General features: G+C 40.7%; 1 long non-coding RNA gene across 1 annotated transcript in view, besides 1 other annotated feature; it reads left to right on the plus strand.

The window, feature by feature from the left end:
• The window catches only part of LINC00578 (long intergenic non-protein coding RNA 578), a 310,784-nt gene that overhangs the window by 31,975 nt on the left and 262,225 nt on the right, over nucleotides 1–16,584 (plus strand). The gene's annotated exons all lie outside the window — the stretch shown is intronic.
• Nucleotides 13,793–14,294: an enhancer, noted in NCBI's record as "NANOG hESC enhancer chr3:177205476-177205977 (GRCh37/hg19 assembly coordinates)". NCBI's record gives its function as "activates a minimal SCP1, AML or CMV promoter by ChIP-STARR-seq in naive H9 embryonic stem cells {active_cell/tissue: H9 hESC(naive)}" and the evidence as "EXISTENCE:reporter gene assay evidence [ECO:0000049][PMID:30033119]".

Genomic DNA, 16,584 nt, shown 5'->3' on the forward strand with positions numbered 1-16,584 from the left:
TTAAATCTCACCAAATTATGGGAGAGCAGATCCAGGATTCAAAGTCAAGTCACTCTACTTCCAAAGCCCATAATGTCTGTAACCAGAACACGAATGTTTCCCCCAGTTTAGTCATTTTAGTGTTCACTACCTTCACCAAAGCCATGCACCATCTAAATGCTACATAATATTTAATATTATAATATTATTAATATATTACAATATTATTATATATATTATTTAATATAATAATATTACATATTTTTAAGTCAATTTATTTTTTTCCAGTTAAAAAAATTACCCTAATCCTAAACAATAATTGATGTGAAATCATGAGTTTAATGTACTCGTTGTGTTTTTTCTAATATGTACAGTAAAAAAAGCTAGAAAAAATGTAAAAGGTTTGATCCCTGTATTTTCTAAAATACTTGCAATACCAGGCGATATGTACTGCACTTTGGGAAACTACATTATGGGGTCTCTTTGACTATGTTATCTCTTGGTGGGAATATTGTTATGGCAATTCCTGCATTAGAGAAGGAACTGACTTACACAGTCTTTAAGGATAACAATAACATCAATAATCTAATGATACTCTACTCTTGCCAATCCAGAGATTCTCTCATGATTTTATAGTTTCCATGAACAACTGATATTTTGGGGGCTTATTATTGCTGGATGCTCTTACTAGTATGCCAATGATATCTGTAGAGAGTTCATATGTTTCTATTTTTCTGTAGCATCCCTCTTATGGTGGTAGAGGTAACAGGAAATTAAACAGTTTCTCTTCACTAATGGTCATATCTTTCTGCCCTTGGTAGACTCTAACTGGCTGTAATTGCTTCTTTTTGATGTATCTATCCCAAGGCAAATGGTTGCTCCTAAGAGCGTCATCTTTTCCTCCTGTTTTCCATTCTAAGCCCAGTGTCCCACATGTGCTGCTCCCAGGCACAGGCACTGCTGCACGGGGCTCCCCAGCTCAAAGGTCAAGCACATCAGGCTTTGAGAGATCAGAGCAATGGGGCTGGCTCTTCCATGGGCATCTCACAGAATGCCTGTGTAATATAATTTGCAGCGTCAGTGTTGTGGAGCAGCTTTGGGGACCTCCTAGGACCACTTTATTTTGCTTAGCAGTGTGAGACCTAGCTGGATGGCTGAATGCTGTCAGTCGTGCATTTGGCCGTAAAACATTTATCCGATATAAAGTGTCACAGGGAAAAGTTAACATTGCTTCACCCCGTGCCATAAATGGATGACACTTTCAGGATTGTGGCGCTAAAGACAGAGAGTCTGAGAAAAACTGGAAAGCAGCAAGCTTGCCTCATGAACAGAACACTCAGCTAGGGATTAGCAGGCCTTGGTTCTCATCCCAGCTCTGCCAGCTGTGTGACTGCAGGAAGGTCCCATGTTTTCTGGGCTTCTGTTTCCTCATCTATAATGATATCTGCCTCACAGAACTCCCGAGAGGTACCTCGAGCGTGCAACAGCACGTTGTCAATTAGAACATTTCTGCTGAGGTCGTTGCTATGATGCATCCTCATATAAAACGAGGGAGCCACAGCAGTGAACTTTGGACTTTTCCAAGCTCTAGAACGCTGACTCCGGGGAGCAGGCAGAGGAACAGAGGGGTCTGAGCACATCACACAGGCATATTTGGTTAGCTGTGCAAACAAGATGGATGACAGTGTCCTCTGTTTCTATTAAGCTTCAAAACTTATTTGGGAGATATGGATTTGGGAGCTGCACTGAGGCAGAAACAGAAGAGAGAGAAATGAAGAAATATTAACAATAATCCAGACATCCTTACTCTGAGGCATAGTTGAAGGGAATCAGTGTGGCCCAGGAAGGGTAATAGCACCAGGGATAACCACCAAATATCTTGTTCATTGGCCAAAAAAACGACGACGACGACAACAACAATGACAACAAAACACAACCCAAGATGTGTTGAAAAATAGAGTGGCTAAACCCAATTATTGCATTACTGTGTTTTCTGGCGAGATGGCAATAAAGAGTTGTGTGACCTCTATACATGGTCATCTTTTACAGAGTGATTTAGTTGTTTTTTTTTTTTTTTTTTGAGATGGAGTCTTGCTCCATTACCCAGGCTGGAGTGCAGTGGTGCAATCTCAGCTTACTGTAGCCTCTGCCTCCCAAGTTCAAGTGATTCTCCTGTCTCAGCCTCCCGAGTAGCTGGGATTACAGGCATGCGCCACCACACCAGGCTAATTTTGTATTTTTAGTAGAGATGGGGTTTCTCCATGTTGACCAGGCTGGTCTCGAACTCCTGACCTCAGGTAATCCACCTGCCTCGGCCTCCCAAAGTGCTGGGATTACAGGCGTGAGCCACCGTGCCTGGCCCAGAGTAATTTAGTTCTGTTATCATGTTAACTCCCAACAGCCCCCAAATTTAGGAAATGATTTTAACAATACTGTGATTTTTCTAGTAATAGCTCTGTGCAAAGCATTTTAAGAGGGAAATTGTCTTTAATCCTTATAGCAGTGCCATGGAATAGATAGTATCACCTCCTTTGTACTGAGGAGAACACAGAGCAGGGTGGTTCAGCCATGTTCCCGAGGCTGACTGCTTAACAAACAGCAGAGCAAGGGGCTCAGATCCTGCTCTGTTTGACTCCAAAACCTATGCTCATGGCTGAATGCTACTTCAGTCTTCACTCAGTAATTCTTTCTGAGAGGGTAAATCAACATCGTTGAGGATTAAAAACATGACTTCTATTGACGCGATTGCCAACTCTTGACAGACCATTAAGAGGAGCAGGGAAAAATATGTCGCTGAATATGAAGTTTGAAGTTTATTACGTTAGTTATCATTCAAATAGGTTTTGGAAATCACTTATCTAATTAGCTACGATGATTATTCGTCAGTTGTTTCTATGGATACTACTCATCTTATTACTCAAAATAGACACTCATTTATGTGCTTATTTCTGCACAGTCTAGTCATCAGCATCTGATAGTTCTGACACAGGAGGGAATCCTGTTTTTTTTTTTTTTGTTTTTTGTTTTTTTTTTTAGTGGGCCGTTTACTGGCTACACTGAGTCCTATCTTGTAAATACTCGTAATGCACTTCCTCAGGCTTTGAAGTAAGTGAATAAGCGCAGCCCTCATGGATTTCATAGCTCGAGAACAGTGTTTCTTAAACTTGGCTACACATTGGAATCACCTGGGGGTGATTGTCCACTCACAGAAATTCAGAATCTCTCCAGGGTAAGACCCAAATATCATTGATCTTAAAATCTTCCAGGTGTCTCCAATGGACATCTAAGTTTGAGCACACTGGCTCTTAGGGTAAACAGGTGCAAACATTCCTAAGCAAACATTCACAAAATTCTCTCTCCTCACAGGCATGCTAGAACATGAAACTGATTGGGTTGGACATTAGACTCACTGGGTAGTGGGGCGGGGAGGTGGGCTTATAGACAGACTGATGCCTGGCCCCCACCCTCGTCAGATTTTTAATTAAATGGTCCCTGGAGAAGGCTGTGCTTAGCGATCAGTATTTTTAAAAAGCCCCTTAGGCCACTCATATAAACAGCCTGGTTTTGAACCACTGAGTCACACCTACTAATCTCGAGAGAAGGCCCAAGGCTCAAGAGAATTATGTTTCCGTTGCATTAATTTCCAGTAAGGCCTGATGCTTTTCTTTTTTTTTGTTTGTTTTTGTTTTTGTTTTTGTGACAGAGTCTCGCTCTGCCACCCAGGCTGGAGTGCAGTGGCGCAATTTTGGCTCACTGCAACCTCCACCTCCCGGGTTCAAGCGATTCTCCTGCCTCAGCCTCCTGAGTAGCTGGGATTACAGGCATGGGCCACCATGCCTGGCTAATTTATGTATTTTTAGTAGAGATGGGGTTTCATTATGTTGGCCAGGCTGGTCTCGAACTCCTGACCTCCAGCGATCTGCCCACCTCGGCCTCCTAAAGTGCTGAGATTACAAGCTTGAGCCACCATGCCAGCCAGCCTGATGCTTTTCAGCAGACATCTTCCTGGTTCTGAAACGAAGAGATGAAGAGTGAAAAATTCAATTTAAATAAGATTTTCCAGCAGTGTAGGGTTGGGGTGGAGCTCTAAAACCATCTTGCCAGCCTGAGTTATTGAATACCAATGTCAGGAATAATTGAAGCAGCAGCACAAGGGGTATCTGTGAGGGGCGGAAAGGTCTAGTTTAGTTGATCTATTTGACCTTGTTTGCTAGATGTGAAGTCTTCTTTTCCTCGCAGAAATGAAGAGTTTAAAACAACAACAAATCAATGACCATATCACATTGTATTGGAATATTGAAAATACTCAGGCTGCTTGATAATGTAAAACAGCCATACTTATATTAATTATTCAATAATAGGCAGCTATCTATATTTTGAACTTTTTCCTATTGTTTCAGCTAGGAGCAATTCTGCTTCTCACACGTGTAGCTTGCTTGTCTGTTTCTTTTCCCTCTTTAGACTGTAATAGTGCTGAGTTCACCATGGCCCCTTCATCATAATGAGAAAGAACTTTTCTAATGACTCAGAGATTTCTAAATTAAACCTAAAATGTTTATTACAAAGATGCTGGACACACATTATGCATCGCTGTTGCAATACAGTAATATAATTCAGATAGAAATTATCTTTGCAAATGGCAATCAATTTTTGCTACTACTTTTTGCATTCTTGACAATCTAGTCACTGGGCTGTGGAAAAGTGCTTTTACTTGATTATTTACACTGTTGATAATCACTGTGGTTTTTGGCAGAGCTAAGGCATTATTTCACAGACCTGCATTGCAATAGGGAACGGGTGTAACTTCAAAATACTGCCAAAGTTCCTGTGGCTTTAGCCGACACCAAGGAATGTACAAACTCAAGCACAATTCTTAGGAGACTTCATTCTTTTACAGTGGTTTGCCACAGGGCAGTCCACATGCAGGGACAAGTTAAACAAATATGGTCCCTGGAGAAAGTGGGCTCCCCTGTAGCCCAAGAAGTCTACTGCTGTGGAGGTCTTCAGGAACTATCTGCATCTCCCACTTAATGCCCAGGACACATATCCTCCCACTTAGAACTTTGGGTTTAAAAGGGAGGAAACATATTTTAAAGTATTAGATAATTCAAAAACCGGCCAGGCACAGTGACTCACGCCTGTAATCCCAGCACTTTGGGAGGCCGAGGTGGGTGGATCACCTGAGGTCAGGAGTTCGATACCAGCTTGGCCAACATGGTGAAGCCCTGACTCTACTAAAAACACAAAAATTAGCTGGGCCTGGTGGCAGGTGCTGGGAGGCTGAGACAGGAGAATTGGTTGAGCCCAGGAGATGGAGGTTGGTTGCAGTGAGCCGAGATGGCACCACTGCACTCCAGCATGGGTGACAGAGACTCCATCTCAAAACAAAACAAAACAAGACAAACGAAAAAACAAAAAACAAAAAACAACCCCGTGGTGCCACTGCACTATTTTCAAAGGGAAAAAGAGCCACCGCTCCAGGCTGAATGTTTTCTTATAGATCATATGCTGATAAAGAAATGAACACAGACCTGTAATGTGGCAGATAACCTTTTGCAAGCGACTGCAAAAGAATAAAGAAAGATAGAAGCAGCGGAAAGAGCTATATTAAATGACTGCCTTATCACTCTTAGACAACTCCTACCTTTGATTTTTAAAAAATTTAAACATTTCAAACAAATCGTTATGCCATAGTGGGATGCTCTTGGGAAACACAAAAACAACAACAACAACGACAACAACAAAAAGAAAAAACAGACTCTGACTAGTCCAAAAACATCTCAGCAGGCAATCTAAGGACTAGAACTGATTTAATTTCTTTCAAAAAACTCTCCTCTATCATAACAAAGGTGTCAGTTATAAAGGGGAACATCTGTTTTGCTAGACCCTAAACTAAAACCTCTGATTCTTTTCACATCAGTCATTGAACAGCTGTCAGATATATGAACAAGTTTTAGACACCTGAGAATTATGACTTTGAACACGTGACCTAGAGATCCTCTGCCCCTGTTATCACTTCCTTGGGCCACCCGCCATGGCAGACTACACAGTCATTATAGAAAATGCCATCACCCAGTTTTGTTTGAGACTACACCAGCATGTGTTCAGCATTTTGAGTATTTTTCTGATTTAAGTAGCACTTATTCCTGATTGCTTTTGGTCTTGTCCCTGTCCTATTTTGTGATACTACTATCTGCCAGCCACTAAAGTCAGAAATTGTAATTATCTTTAATTTACTAACCCTGGCTGATCTTTGGCCATTGTGGCTGGTGAATTCTTCTTTTCTTCTTGTGCGTTACCATTACCTGAATTCAGGCTGGCATTATTACATTATCATCCTCTTTGAATAGCTAAGGGGCATTTTGGCTCCTTTAACTCGCCACCCATTCTTCCCTTTACTGCCAGATTTTCATCTTAAATCAGAGATCAAATAATCTCATTGCTATGTTCAAGTTTTTCCATGGTTCCCCACTTGTCTTCAAATTCCTTATCATGTTATTCCTCACTACTCATGTTAGTAGTACTAACACTACTCATGTTAGTAGTAGTCTTCTAACACTACTCCACCTGGCTCTGCTGCTCCACTGAAGACCCTTGATTATAATCTCAGCTCCAGCTCTGCCTGGTGATTTTTCCTTACTAACAGCGTATGTAGAATCCTTCCATGTTTGTGTTAATACACAGTTGCTCCCGCTTAGGACTCCATTCTCCTCTTTCTCCTGCCATCATAATACACACCTCTTAGAAGGCTCATATCTAATGTCACCACAGAGAAGTCTTTTCTGCCTCAAGAAATGGAATACTTCGGCCGGGTGCAGTGGCTCACTCCTGTAATTCCAGCACTTTGGGAGGCTGAGGCGGGCAGATCACGAGGGCAAAAGATCGAGACCATCCTGGCCAACATGGTGAAAACCCGTTTCTACTAAAATCAATAAAATAGTGTGGACTTACATACTTTTATATGAGCTTCCTACAGACCAGAATTGCATCTTCTTCATCCTTCTGTGCTCAATATTTGGCCCTCTATCTGTACATTGTAGGTGCTCAGTCAGTGTTATATTGAATTAGGATTACAGAGCACTGGCTTTCTGTGTGGTAGTTCATGGGAAGCTTCCTGCTCAGTGCCTATCAGGTGTGCCATTGCGTGATATATGAGTTGATCTGAATGCCCCTTGAGTTCCTTGTGAGCTTAAAAATTGGAGGAATATGTAATCCCAGCACTTTGGGAGGCCAAGGTGGGCAGATCACGAGGTCAGGGGATCAAGACCATCCTGGCCAACATGGTGAAATCCCATCTCTACTAAAAATAGAAAAAATTAGCCAGGCGTGGTGGTGCGTGCCTGTAGTCCCAGCTACTCGGGAGACTGAGGCAGGGGACTCTTTTGAACCCGGGAGGCGGAGGTTGCAGTGAGCTGAGATTGTGCCACTGCACTCCAGCCTGGGCGACAGAGTGAGACTCAAAAAAAAAAAAAAAAAAAAAAATTGGAGGAATAACCCAGAAAGTAGACAACTATTTCCCTCCTGTATTGTCTTCTCCTGCTGGCCTCTTCTGTGACCCCTTAACCTTCCAATCCCTTCCATCCTGCTGTCTCTGTCTTTGTTCCTCTTTTTGTACCATCAGAGCCGTTTCAAAGCACAGCTCACATTGCACCTTCTACTGCGAGCCTTCTGCTTTGGATTTGCTTTTTTGCTGATCTCTCTAGGACTTCAGAATCTCTTTTTCACTATTCAGCATTTTATTACTTACAGTTTTGTACCAATTATTCATTACTTGGTAAATTGTTCCCAATTAATTCAACTGAGAACTACTAGAGTCTAGCTTAATTTTCAACAAAGGTATTCCAGCGTCTCTCCTGAAGGCCCTGGCTCTGCCATATCAGATATATAACTCTGGGAAAGCTTTAACAATGGCCTAAACCTCAAATATAAAATGGGGAAAATTATAGTGTCCATCTTATAGACTGTAGAAGATAAAATACATTTGAAACATTTTGTGTAACATTTATTAATCTCAACATATGACAATTGTTTTATCATTATTATTATTATGGACAGTTTTAATCACAGCCTGTTGAAATTAACTTATCTTTTATTCAAAGCCTATCAAATGTAGGCAATGTTTGATACTTTTAGGTCTTTGTCATATTTCTCAATAATTGTGATAATTAGTTTGGCAAAAAGTAATCCCTTGCATAGCTTTTGGAACCACTCTTGCACCTTGAATGAAAAACAGCCAGTGTAGGTACTGAAACCATGATCTGTTCAGTGGTGTCTTCTGGCTCAAATGAAGCACAAGAGCTTGTGAATTGACCTGAAACACACAAATAAAATGTGATTCATTAGATACTAACTAATAAACTCAGTGCGTTTTTGGTGCCATCATACCCAGACTATAAGGTCATTGAAATAAATCTGAGACATTTCTCTTGAAAGACGTTATAGTCAACTCATTTCTCTGCCAAAAGAAAAAAAAATACAGCCCTATCTCAACACAATAATCTAGGACGTATTTATTTTAAAACCATTCCATTTTGCTTTCTTAATTTCTCATCTCCCACCCCAGAAAATCGGAATTAACATGGCAAAAGTCCACTGTTTGACTTTAGGAAAAACAGTATAATTCTTCTGTATCTTTCACAGACTTTGCTTGCTGGGCCAGAGCCGACTCATTTGGACACAGCTGTACTCTGAACTTATGTCGCTAGTTAACATTTCCACTTCTAGGCATTCATTTGGCTTATTTGTTCCAGAAAGTTTTCTGTTCTCTGATTTAATGTTTCACTGTGCTGTACCCACAGATCCATAACCTAATTCAGTGGCTGATTTTTGAAGACTGTGATTTAAAGAGCCAGAGACTTATTGAAAAAACTATATCTTTTCACCATTGGATCTAAGGCCTTCTTATACACAACTTCAGTGTAGGTTAAGTTTTGTCCTCGGACCTAAAATTGCCCTGGTAGGGCTCTTTCCACCCCTACAGAATCTTCCCAGCTAAATCTGTGGGGTTTATCTGGTGTCCTTTTCTTAATCTGAATAGCTGTATCATAATCCTTATTAAGACATTGTAGCTCATGAAACTATTTACATCTGAAGTATGTATGACTGAAACTTGGAAAATGTTTTAAGACCCTGAAGAATGAAAGAATAATGGCAGAATGAATGGGACAAATCAAGGCTTATGATAACAGTGATTTTATCAGAGTTATAATTTGGGAACAGCAGGTCTTGATCCTTATTCTTCAAATCGAATTGATCTTGTAGAGATTTATACTTGGTATAGGCTTCTGTTTCCTATAAAGAATGACCAGGAGTCAACTAGCTGGGGTTGTTTATTGATTAAGACATAGGCACTATAGAAAGAATAAGCCTGCCCATAGGAAAATGGTTAAATGCTGTTCTCACTCACAGGCTCTCTGGTGGCTGATCCTACTCACTGCAGGGTAGAGTGGGAAACTGGTTGCCAGGAGAGCACAGGAGCACAAGGCTGGTGACCGCGGGTGTGCTGGTGAGAGAGCCACCATGACATCTGTATTTAGAGACGAATCTTATCTCCAGTTCACAGACATGGAAACTGACACTCTTGCCTGGGTAATCTGTGTCTCTCATTTCCCCTTTCTGTGCCTCAACTTTCCTTATCCATAAGATTCAGGGTATGGGATAGATGATTTCTAAGTTTCCTTCCTTTTTCCTTTTTGATTCTTATTGAATCCTGGGACAATGACAATCAGAATGAGGCTCTGTGGGGCAGTAGGAGTGGCTGGAAAACTCTTTGAGCTGTATGTCAAGTTGCTCTGTCAACATTTAACTAGGGCCAAACAAATCTGCTGAAGACCAGGACTGTGAATTAGGGTGGATCTGGAGAGCCCATTTGAAGGGTGGGTCTGAAGAGCCCATTGCTATGACACATAGCAATTCAGATCACCAGTTCCTTAGGTCATGTTACCACTTGCTCCTCCACCTCCTGCTATTCTTTCTGTTCTCAGGCAAACCCAGCCAATGACTTGGTTAGCAGTTGAGCTCTGCATATCCAGCAGACCTTTCTCGGGGACTAAAGGACAGCCCATTCTTTGGCTTCTGTGGTGATTGGGGAATTCTCTAGAATGTGCATGAACATGATATACACCTCTCAGTACAGGCTATCCACTTTTTGGTGTTAACTCTAGTGTGTGATGGTCCTTGTGGAGGATGGGTGAAATGAGAAAAGTGGAAAGCATGACATTTGAATATGTGTTACAATATCTCAAAGAGATGAGAAAAGCCTCCAAGTAGCTTCCACCTATTGGGAATGATTCTGCAAATTATGTTATGTGTTTCCTTTCATAAGGCATTGTTAGAGAGCTCGGCTAGAGTTATGTGCCTGTATTTGTGGAGTATTTGCAATGTAGGGTGTTTTCTCCAGCAGAGCCATTTTGGAAGCAGTTGGTTATTTCTTCTCAGTAATCTAGTAGTATAGTATCATTCAGTGAACTTTCTGTGACAATGTAATTGTTTTATATCTTGCCACTAGCCTTATGTGGCTAATGAGTGCAAGCATACTTCAGAGATACTGAAGGTTCGGTTCCAAACCACCACAATAAAATGAGTCAACGTGAATTGTTTTGGTTTCCCAGTGCATACAAAATTTATGTTTATATTATACTGTAGACTATTGTGTGAAATAGCATATTGTCTTAACAAAAGTACATACCTGCATAAAAATACTTTATTGCTAAAAATTGCTAACAATCATCTGGGCCTTCAGCGAGTCTTATTTTTTTATTTTTTATTTATTTTTTGCTGATGGAAGGTCTTACCTCTATGTTGATGGCCACTGACCAGTCTGGTGGTTGCTGAAGGTTGGGATGGCTTTGGTAGTTTCTTAAAATAAGACAAAAATAAAGTTCATCACATGGATTGACTCTTTTTTTTCCTGAAAGTTTTCTCTGTAGCATGCAATGCTGTTTGATAACATTTTATCCACTATAGAATTTCTTTTAATCATCTCAAACCCTGCTGTTGCTTTATCAAGTTTGTGCAATATTCTAAATCCTTTGGTGTCATTTCAACAATGTTCACAGCATCTTCACTAGATTCCATCTCAAGAAACCAGTTTATTCTGTCATCCATAAGAAGCAACTTCTCATCTGTTCAAGTTTGATCACGAGATTGCAGCAATTCACTCACATCTTCAGGCTCCACTTCTAATTCTAGTTGTCTTGCTGTGTTTACTACATCTGCAGTTACTTACTCCACTGAAGTCCTGAACCCCTCAAAGTGATTCATGCGTGTTGAAATCAACTTCTTCCAAACTCCTGTTCATGTTGATATTTTGACCTCCTCCCATGAATGTTCTTAATGGCATTTAGAATGAAGAATCCTTTCTTGAAGGTTTTTAATTTGCTTTGTCCAGATCTATTAGAGGAATCACTCTCAATGGCAGCTATAGCTTTATGAAATGTATTTCTTTAATAATAAGACTCGAAAGTCAAAATTATTCCTTGATCCATAGGCTGCAGAATGTATGTTGTGTAAGCAAGCATGAAAACAACCTAAATCTTGTACATCTCCATCAGAGCTCTCTGGTGACCAGGTGCATTGTGAAAGCAATAATATTTTGAAAGGAATCTTTTTTTTTTTTTTCTCCCGAGCAGTAGTTCTCAACAGTGGGCTTAAAATATTCATTAAACCATGCTGTTAACAGATGCCCTGTCATCCAGGTTTTGTTGTTCCATTTATAGACCACAGGCAGAGTAGATTTAGCATCATTCTTAAGGGTCCTAAGAGTTTTTGGAATTGTAAATGAGCATTGGCTTTCACTTGAAATCACTGGCTACATTAGCCCCTAACAAGAGAGTCAGCCTGTCCTTTGAAGCTAGGCATTGGCTTCTCCTCTCTAGCTATGCAAGTCCTAGATAGCATCTTCTTCCAATATAAGGCTATTTCATCTACACCAAAAATCTGTTGTTGAGTGTAGCCAGCTTCATCAATGATCTTAGCTAGGTCTTCTGGATAACTTGCTGCAGCTTCTCTATTAGCACTTGCTGCTTCACCTTGCACTTTTGCATTATGAAGATGGTTTCTTTCCTTAAACTTCATGAATCAGTCTCTCCTAGCTTCAAACTTTTTTTCTGTAGCTTTCTTACCTCTCTCAGTCTTCATAGAATTGAAGAAAGTTAGGGCCTTTCTTTGGATTAGGCTTTGGTTTAAGGAACTATTCTGGTTGGTTTGATCTTCTATCCAGATCTCTAAAACTTTCTCTGTATCACAATAAAGCTGTTTCACTTTATTATCACTCATGTTCACTGGAGCAGTATTTTTAATTTCCTTGAAGAACTTTTCCTTTGCATTTACAACTTGGCTACATGGCACAAGAGGCCTAGCTTTCTGCCTAGCTTGGCTTTAGACATGCCTTCCTCACTGAGCTTAATCATTTCTAGTGTTTTATTTAAAGTGAGAGACTTGAGACTCTTCTTTTCACCTAAACACTTAGAGGCCAATGTAGGGTTATTAATTGACCTAATTTCAATATTTTTGTGTCTGAGGGAATAGGGAGGCCCAGGAAAAAGAAAGAGACAGGGAATGGCTGGCTGGTGGAGCAGCCAGAACACACACAATATGCGTTGATTAAATTCACCATCTTATATGGGCACAGTTCATGGTGTCTGAAAATAATTAACAAAAGCAATATCAAAGATCACTGATCACAGAGTTATAATAATACTGAAAATATTTGAAATATTGCTAGAATTACCAAAATGTGACACCGAGACACAAAGTGAGCACATGCTGTTGGAAAAATGTTGGTGATAGACTTGCTTGAGGCAGGGTTGCCACAAATCTTCAATATGTAAAAAAATGCAGCATCTGTGAAGCACAATAAAGTGAAACACAATAAAACAAAGTGTGCTTGTACTGAAAATGTGGCTAGTGCAAATAAAAACTGATTTTTTTTTGAGACGGAGTTTTGCCCTTGTTGCCCAGGCTGGAGTGCAAATGGTGTAATCTCGGCTCACTGCAACCTCTGCCTCCCAGGTTCAAGTGATTCTCCTGCCTCAGCCCCCCAAGTAGGTGGGATTACAGGCATACGCTACTACGCCTGGCTACTTTTATGTATTTAGTAGAGACGGGGTTTCACCATGTTGGTCAGGCTGGTCTCCAACTCCTGACCTCAGATGATCCACCAGCCTTGGCCTCCCAAAGTGCTGGGATTACAGGCGTGAGCCACTGTGCCAGGCCTGAAAACCGAATTTTTAATGTATTTCATTTTAATGAATTTAAGTAGCCATGTATGGCTATTGGCTACCAATTTTAACAGCACGGTTTAGAAAACTATTGTACAACTTCTCTGAGGCAGACTCAATCATTATATGTTGAGTTTGAATGTTACAGTTCTTCAGGGCGCTCATTAAAAGATGTGCTTTTGACATATGTTTTTCAAATGTCTAACACAAATTATTCTCAGTAATTCTAGATTTTCTATTCTTTTGATACTTTACTAAAAAAGTTATTATAAGTCTGGAGCTAAACAGTCATTATTACTAAAGCAGTGTTTCAGGGACTCTAGGACTTGAGAAAAACAATTCCCACAATAATGTATAATAGTTCTGCTGTTTCCATAAACATGCATTATAGACTCTGTCTGCCTTCCACGGTGCTTCCTACATCATTTCCTAGTGAAAGCAGGAAACTGATAATTCATGAATGTTTCCATTTTCTCTCCACTGAGAAGGAGGAAAGTGAGCAGCACTTTGCACTAGGAGATGTCTGGGTGTGAATTGCAGTTCTGAGGTCTTGGAAAAATCATTTCAATCTTTAAAGATTCAATTTTTCTTCTTTATCAAATGGCAATGAAAAGAATTCTTTCAGGCCTAACTACTTTTCAGAGTTGAAGTGTAAAAACTTTTGACGTAAAAAGTAGGCAAGTCTTTCTGAGCTGTACAATACTGTATAAATATTTGTGGCTATGGTTACTTTTATCTCAATTGGCACTGGAGCATTTGTATTGACCTTTATGGCATATTTTTTTCATGCCTGTAACTAATCATTCAGCCACTGCCTATGATAGCTGGAGACTTATCACTGAAACACTCAGGATCTTAACTTATTCTCTTGTTGTTCTCATATGCATTTGTTAAGTATCCATCTGCATAGTTTAGAGCTGACTGCTATGTAGTAGATTGGTTAGGTGAAGCCAACTTTCCTGTGACAGGAGAAAAGTTGATGAGTTCTCACTCCCGTATTCTGTATTGGCTTGATGATATACTTGCTTCCTGAGATAGCGAGAAATCTTAGTTCTGGGTCTACCTCCAGGTTTCACTGCATGACTAGGAAGATTCATTTGATCTGTGTATGGATTCTCCAGAAGAAAGATGAAGTTTGTGGTAGCAACTTCTGAGCCCCTGTTGAGTCTTTAATCTCTGTCAGGTGACTATGTCTGGATTTTGTGATTTGATTTTAAACTCCTTGAAGATAAGGGACGTACCTAATTCTTCATTCTTGCTAAAAACTGTGTTCCTGAGTCACACTCAGGATGTGGAGTACACTCGTGATGAGGCTGCTAATTTAACTCACGCTGCATGCAGATGTACAAAGAAAATGCAGCTTCTTTATTGTTCTATAGCTGATTTAACATTTCTCTTGATCTTTCAATCTTTTGGGTAAGAACAAGGATGTTAGTTTTCAATATCTGCAATGCTGCATGATACATTACCCCAGAGTTTAGCAGCTTAAAAGAATAAACATTTATTATCCCACAATTTCTGTAGGTCGGAAATCTGAGTGTGGCCTTACTAGGTTCTCTGGCTCAGGGTCTCTCCCAAGGGCACATTCAAGGGGCCATCTACAGGTCAGTCTGTGGTGACCAACTGTCTGGGGTTGCTCAAGACTGAGTGGTTTCTTGGGATGTGGGGCTTCTGGTGCTAAAACTGGAGACATCCTGGGCAAACTGTGCTGAACTGGTTATCTTATCTGGGTTTTATCTGAACCCTAGACAGAGGGACAGTCCTCTTCTAAGCTCATACCTTGTCATGTGGCAGGACTCTGTTCTACGTGGGTTGCTGGACTGTTCTTCTCTGGCTGTTGGCCAGAATCCTCCCTCAGTTGCTTGCCAATATGGTACTTGTTTCATCAGAGTGAGCAAGTAAGAGAGAAAGAGAGGTGAGCAAATTGGAAGCCAGAATCTTTCAAATTCCATTTGTTAGAAGCAAATCACTAAGTCCAAACCACACGCAAGGGGAGTAGATCACACAAGGGCAGGAGTAGCAGGAAGTGGAGATCATTGGGAGCCGTAGAAGCTGCTCACCACAGGGTGAAAAAACAACTTGCAAATGTGGGTGACAGTATCTTTTGGGTAATCAATATGATTTACTTATCTGTGGGATCTAAAATCATCAAAGTTGGAGCAGAGAGTGGAATGGGGGATAGAGACGTGCGGAAATGATAGTTAAAGGGCAAAGCTTCAGCTGCGCAAAATAAATAACTTCTGGAGATCTAGTATACAGCATAATGCCTATGGTTGACAGTATTGTATCATATACTTAATATTTGCTAAGAAGATAGATCTTACATTAAGTCTTATCATACACACACAAAATAATAAAAGTGGCAGGAAGAAACTTTGTGGGGGAGGTGATAGGTGTATTAGTCTGTTTTCTGTTGCATATAACAGAATACTTGGAACTGGGTAATTTATAAAGAAAAGGAATTTATTTCTTACAGTTATGGAGGCTGAAAAGTTCAAGGTAGAGAGGCTGCATCTAGTGAGGGCCTTCTTGCTGATGGGGACTCTGCGGTCCTAAGGTGGCGCAGGGCATCATATGGCCAGGGGCTGAGCATGCTCACGTATTAGCTTCAGTCACTCTTCCTCTTCTTATAAAGCCACTCCCATGATAACCCATTAATGAATTAATCCATTAATCTAAAAGTGGATTATTCCATGACCCAATCACCTCTTAAAGGCCCCACCTCTCAATACTGCCATATTGGGGATTGAGATTCAACATGAGTTTTGAAGGGGACATTCAAACCATTGCAACAGATATGTTTATGGCCTTGATGGTAGTGATGGTTTCACAGTATATATTTAACCTCAAACTCACTGAGCTTTTTGCAATTAATATGTACAGCTTTTTGTATGTCAATTATACCACAACAAAGTGATTTTGAAATAAAAGAATTCCAGATTTTCTTCTCATCTTCTTTTTCTGAGATGATTTTTCAGTAGATAGCAGGAGGAAGACTGGCTGACCTGGTGGCAGTGGGAAAGAGGGTTCCCAGGCCCATGTCTGTCCTTCCCTGGCTCCTCAGTCCTCTGCTCTGCTGTCTCTTTCATTCCCGCTCTACTTTCCCTGCTGCTGGGCAGCTGAAATTGGGAGCTGTCAGACTCCTGCTCTATAATCTCTTGGTTTGGTTGGACTTGGTTGTTCTCGCTGCTGATTTGATGCCACTTTCATTCTTGAGGACAGGCTGTTACTCCCACCTCATCCTCTGGTCTAGCAGGCTCCCTTCTGATTCCCAACAGCAAGCCCAGAGTAAGCGCTCTACCTGGTACCTTCAGATACAGCCTACTTCCTATCTCAGGGCAGGTGGAAATGGTCAGATAGGATACTTGGGGACCAAGAGAGCCTC

This window comes from Homo sapiens, chromosome 3 (assembly GCF_000001405.40).
Source record: "Homo sapiens chromosome 3, GRCh38.p14 Primary Assembly".
Lineage (NCBI taxonomy): Eukaryota > Metazoa > Chordata > Mammalia > Primates > Hominidae > Homo > Homo sapiens.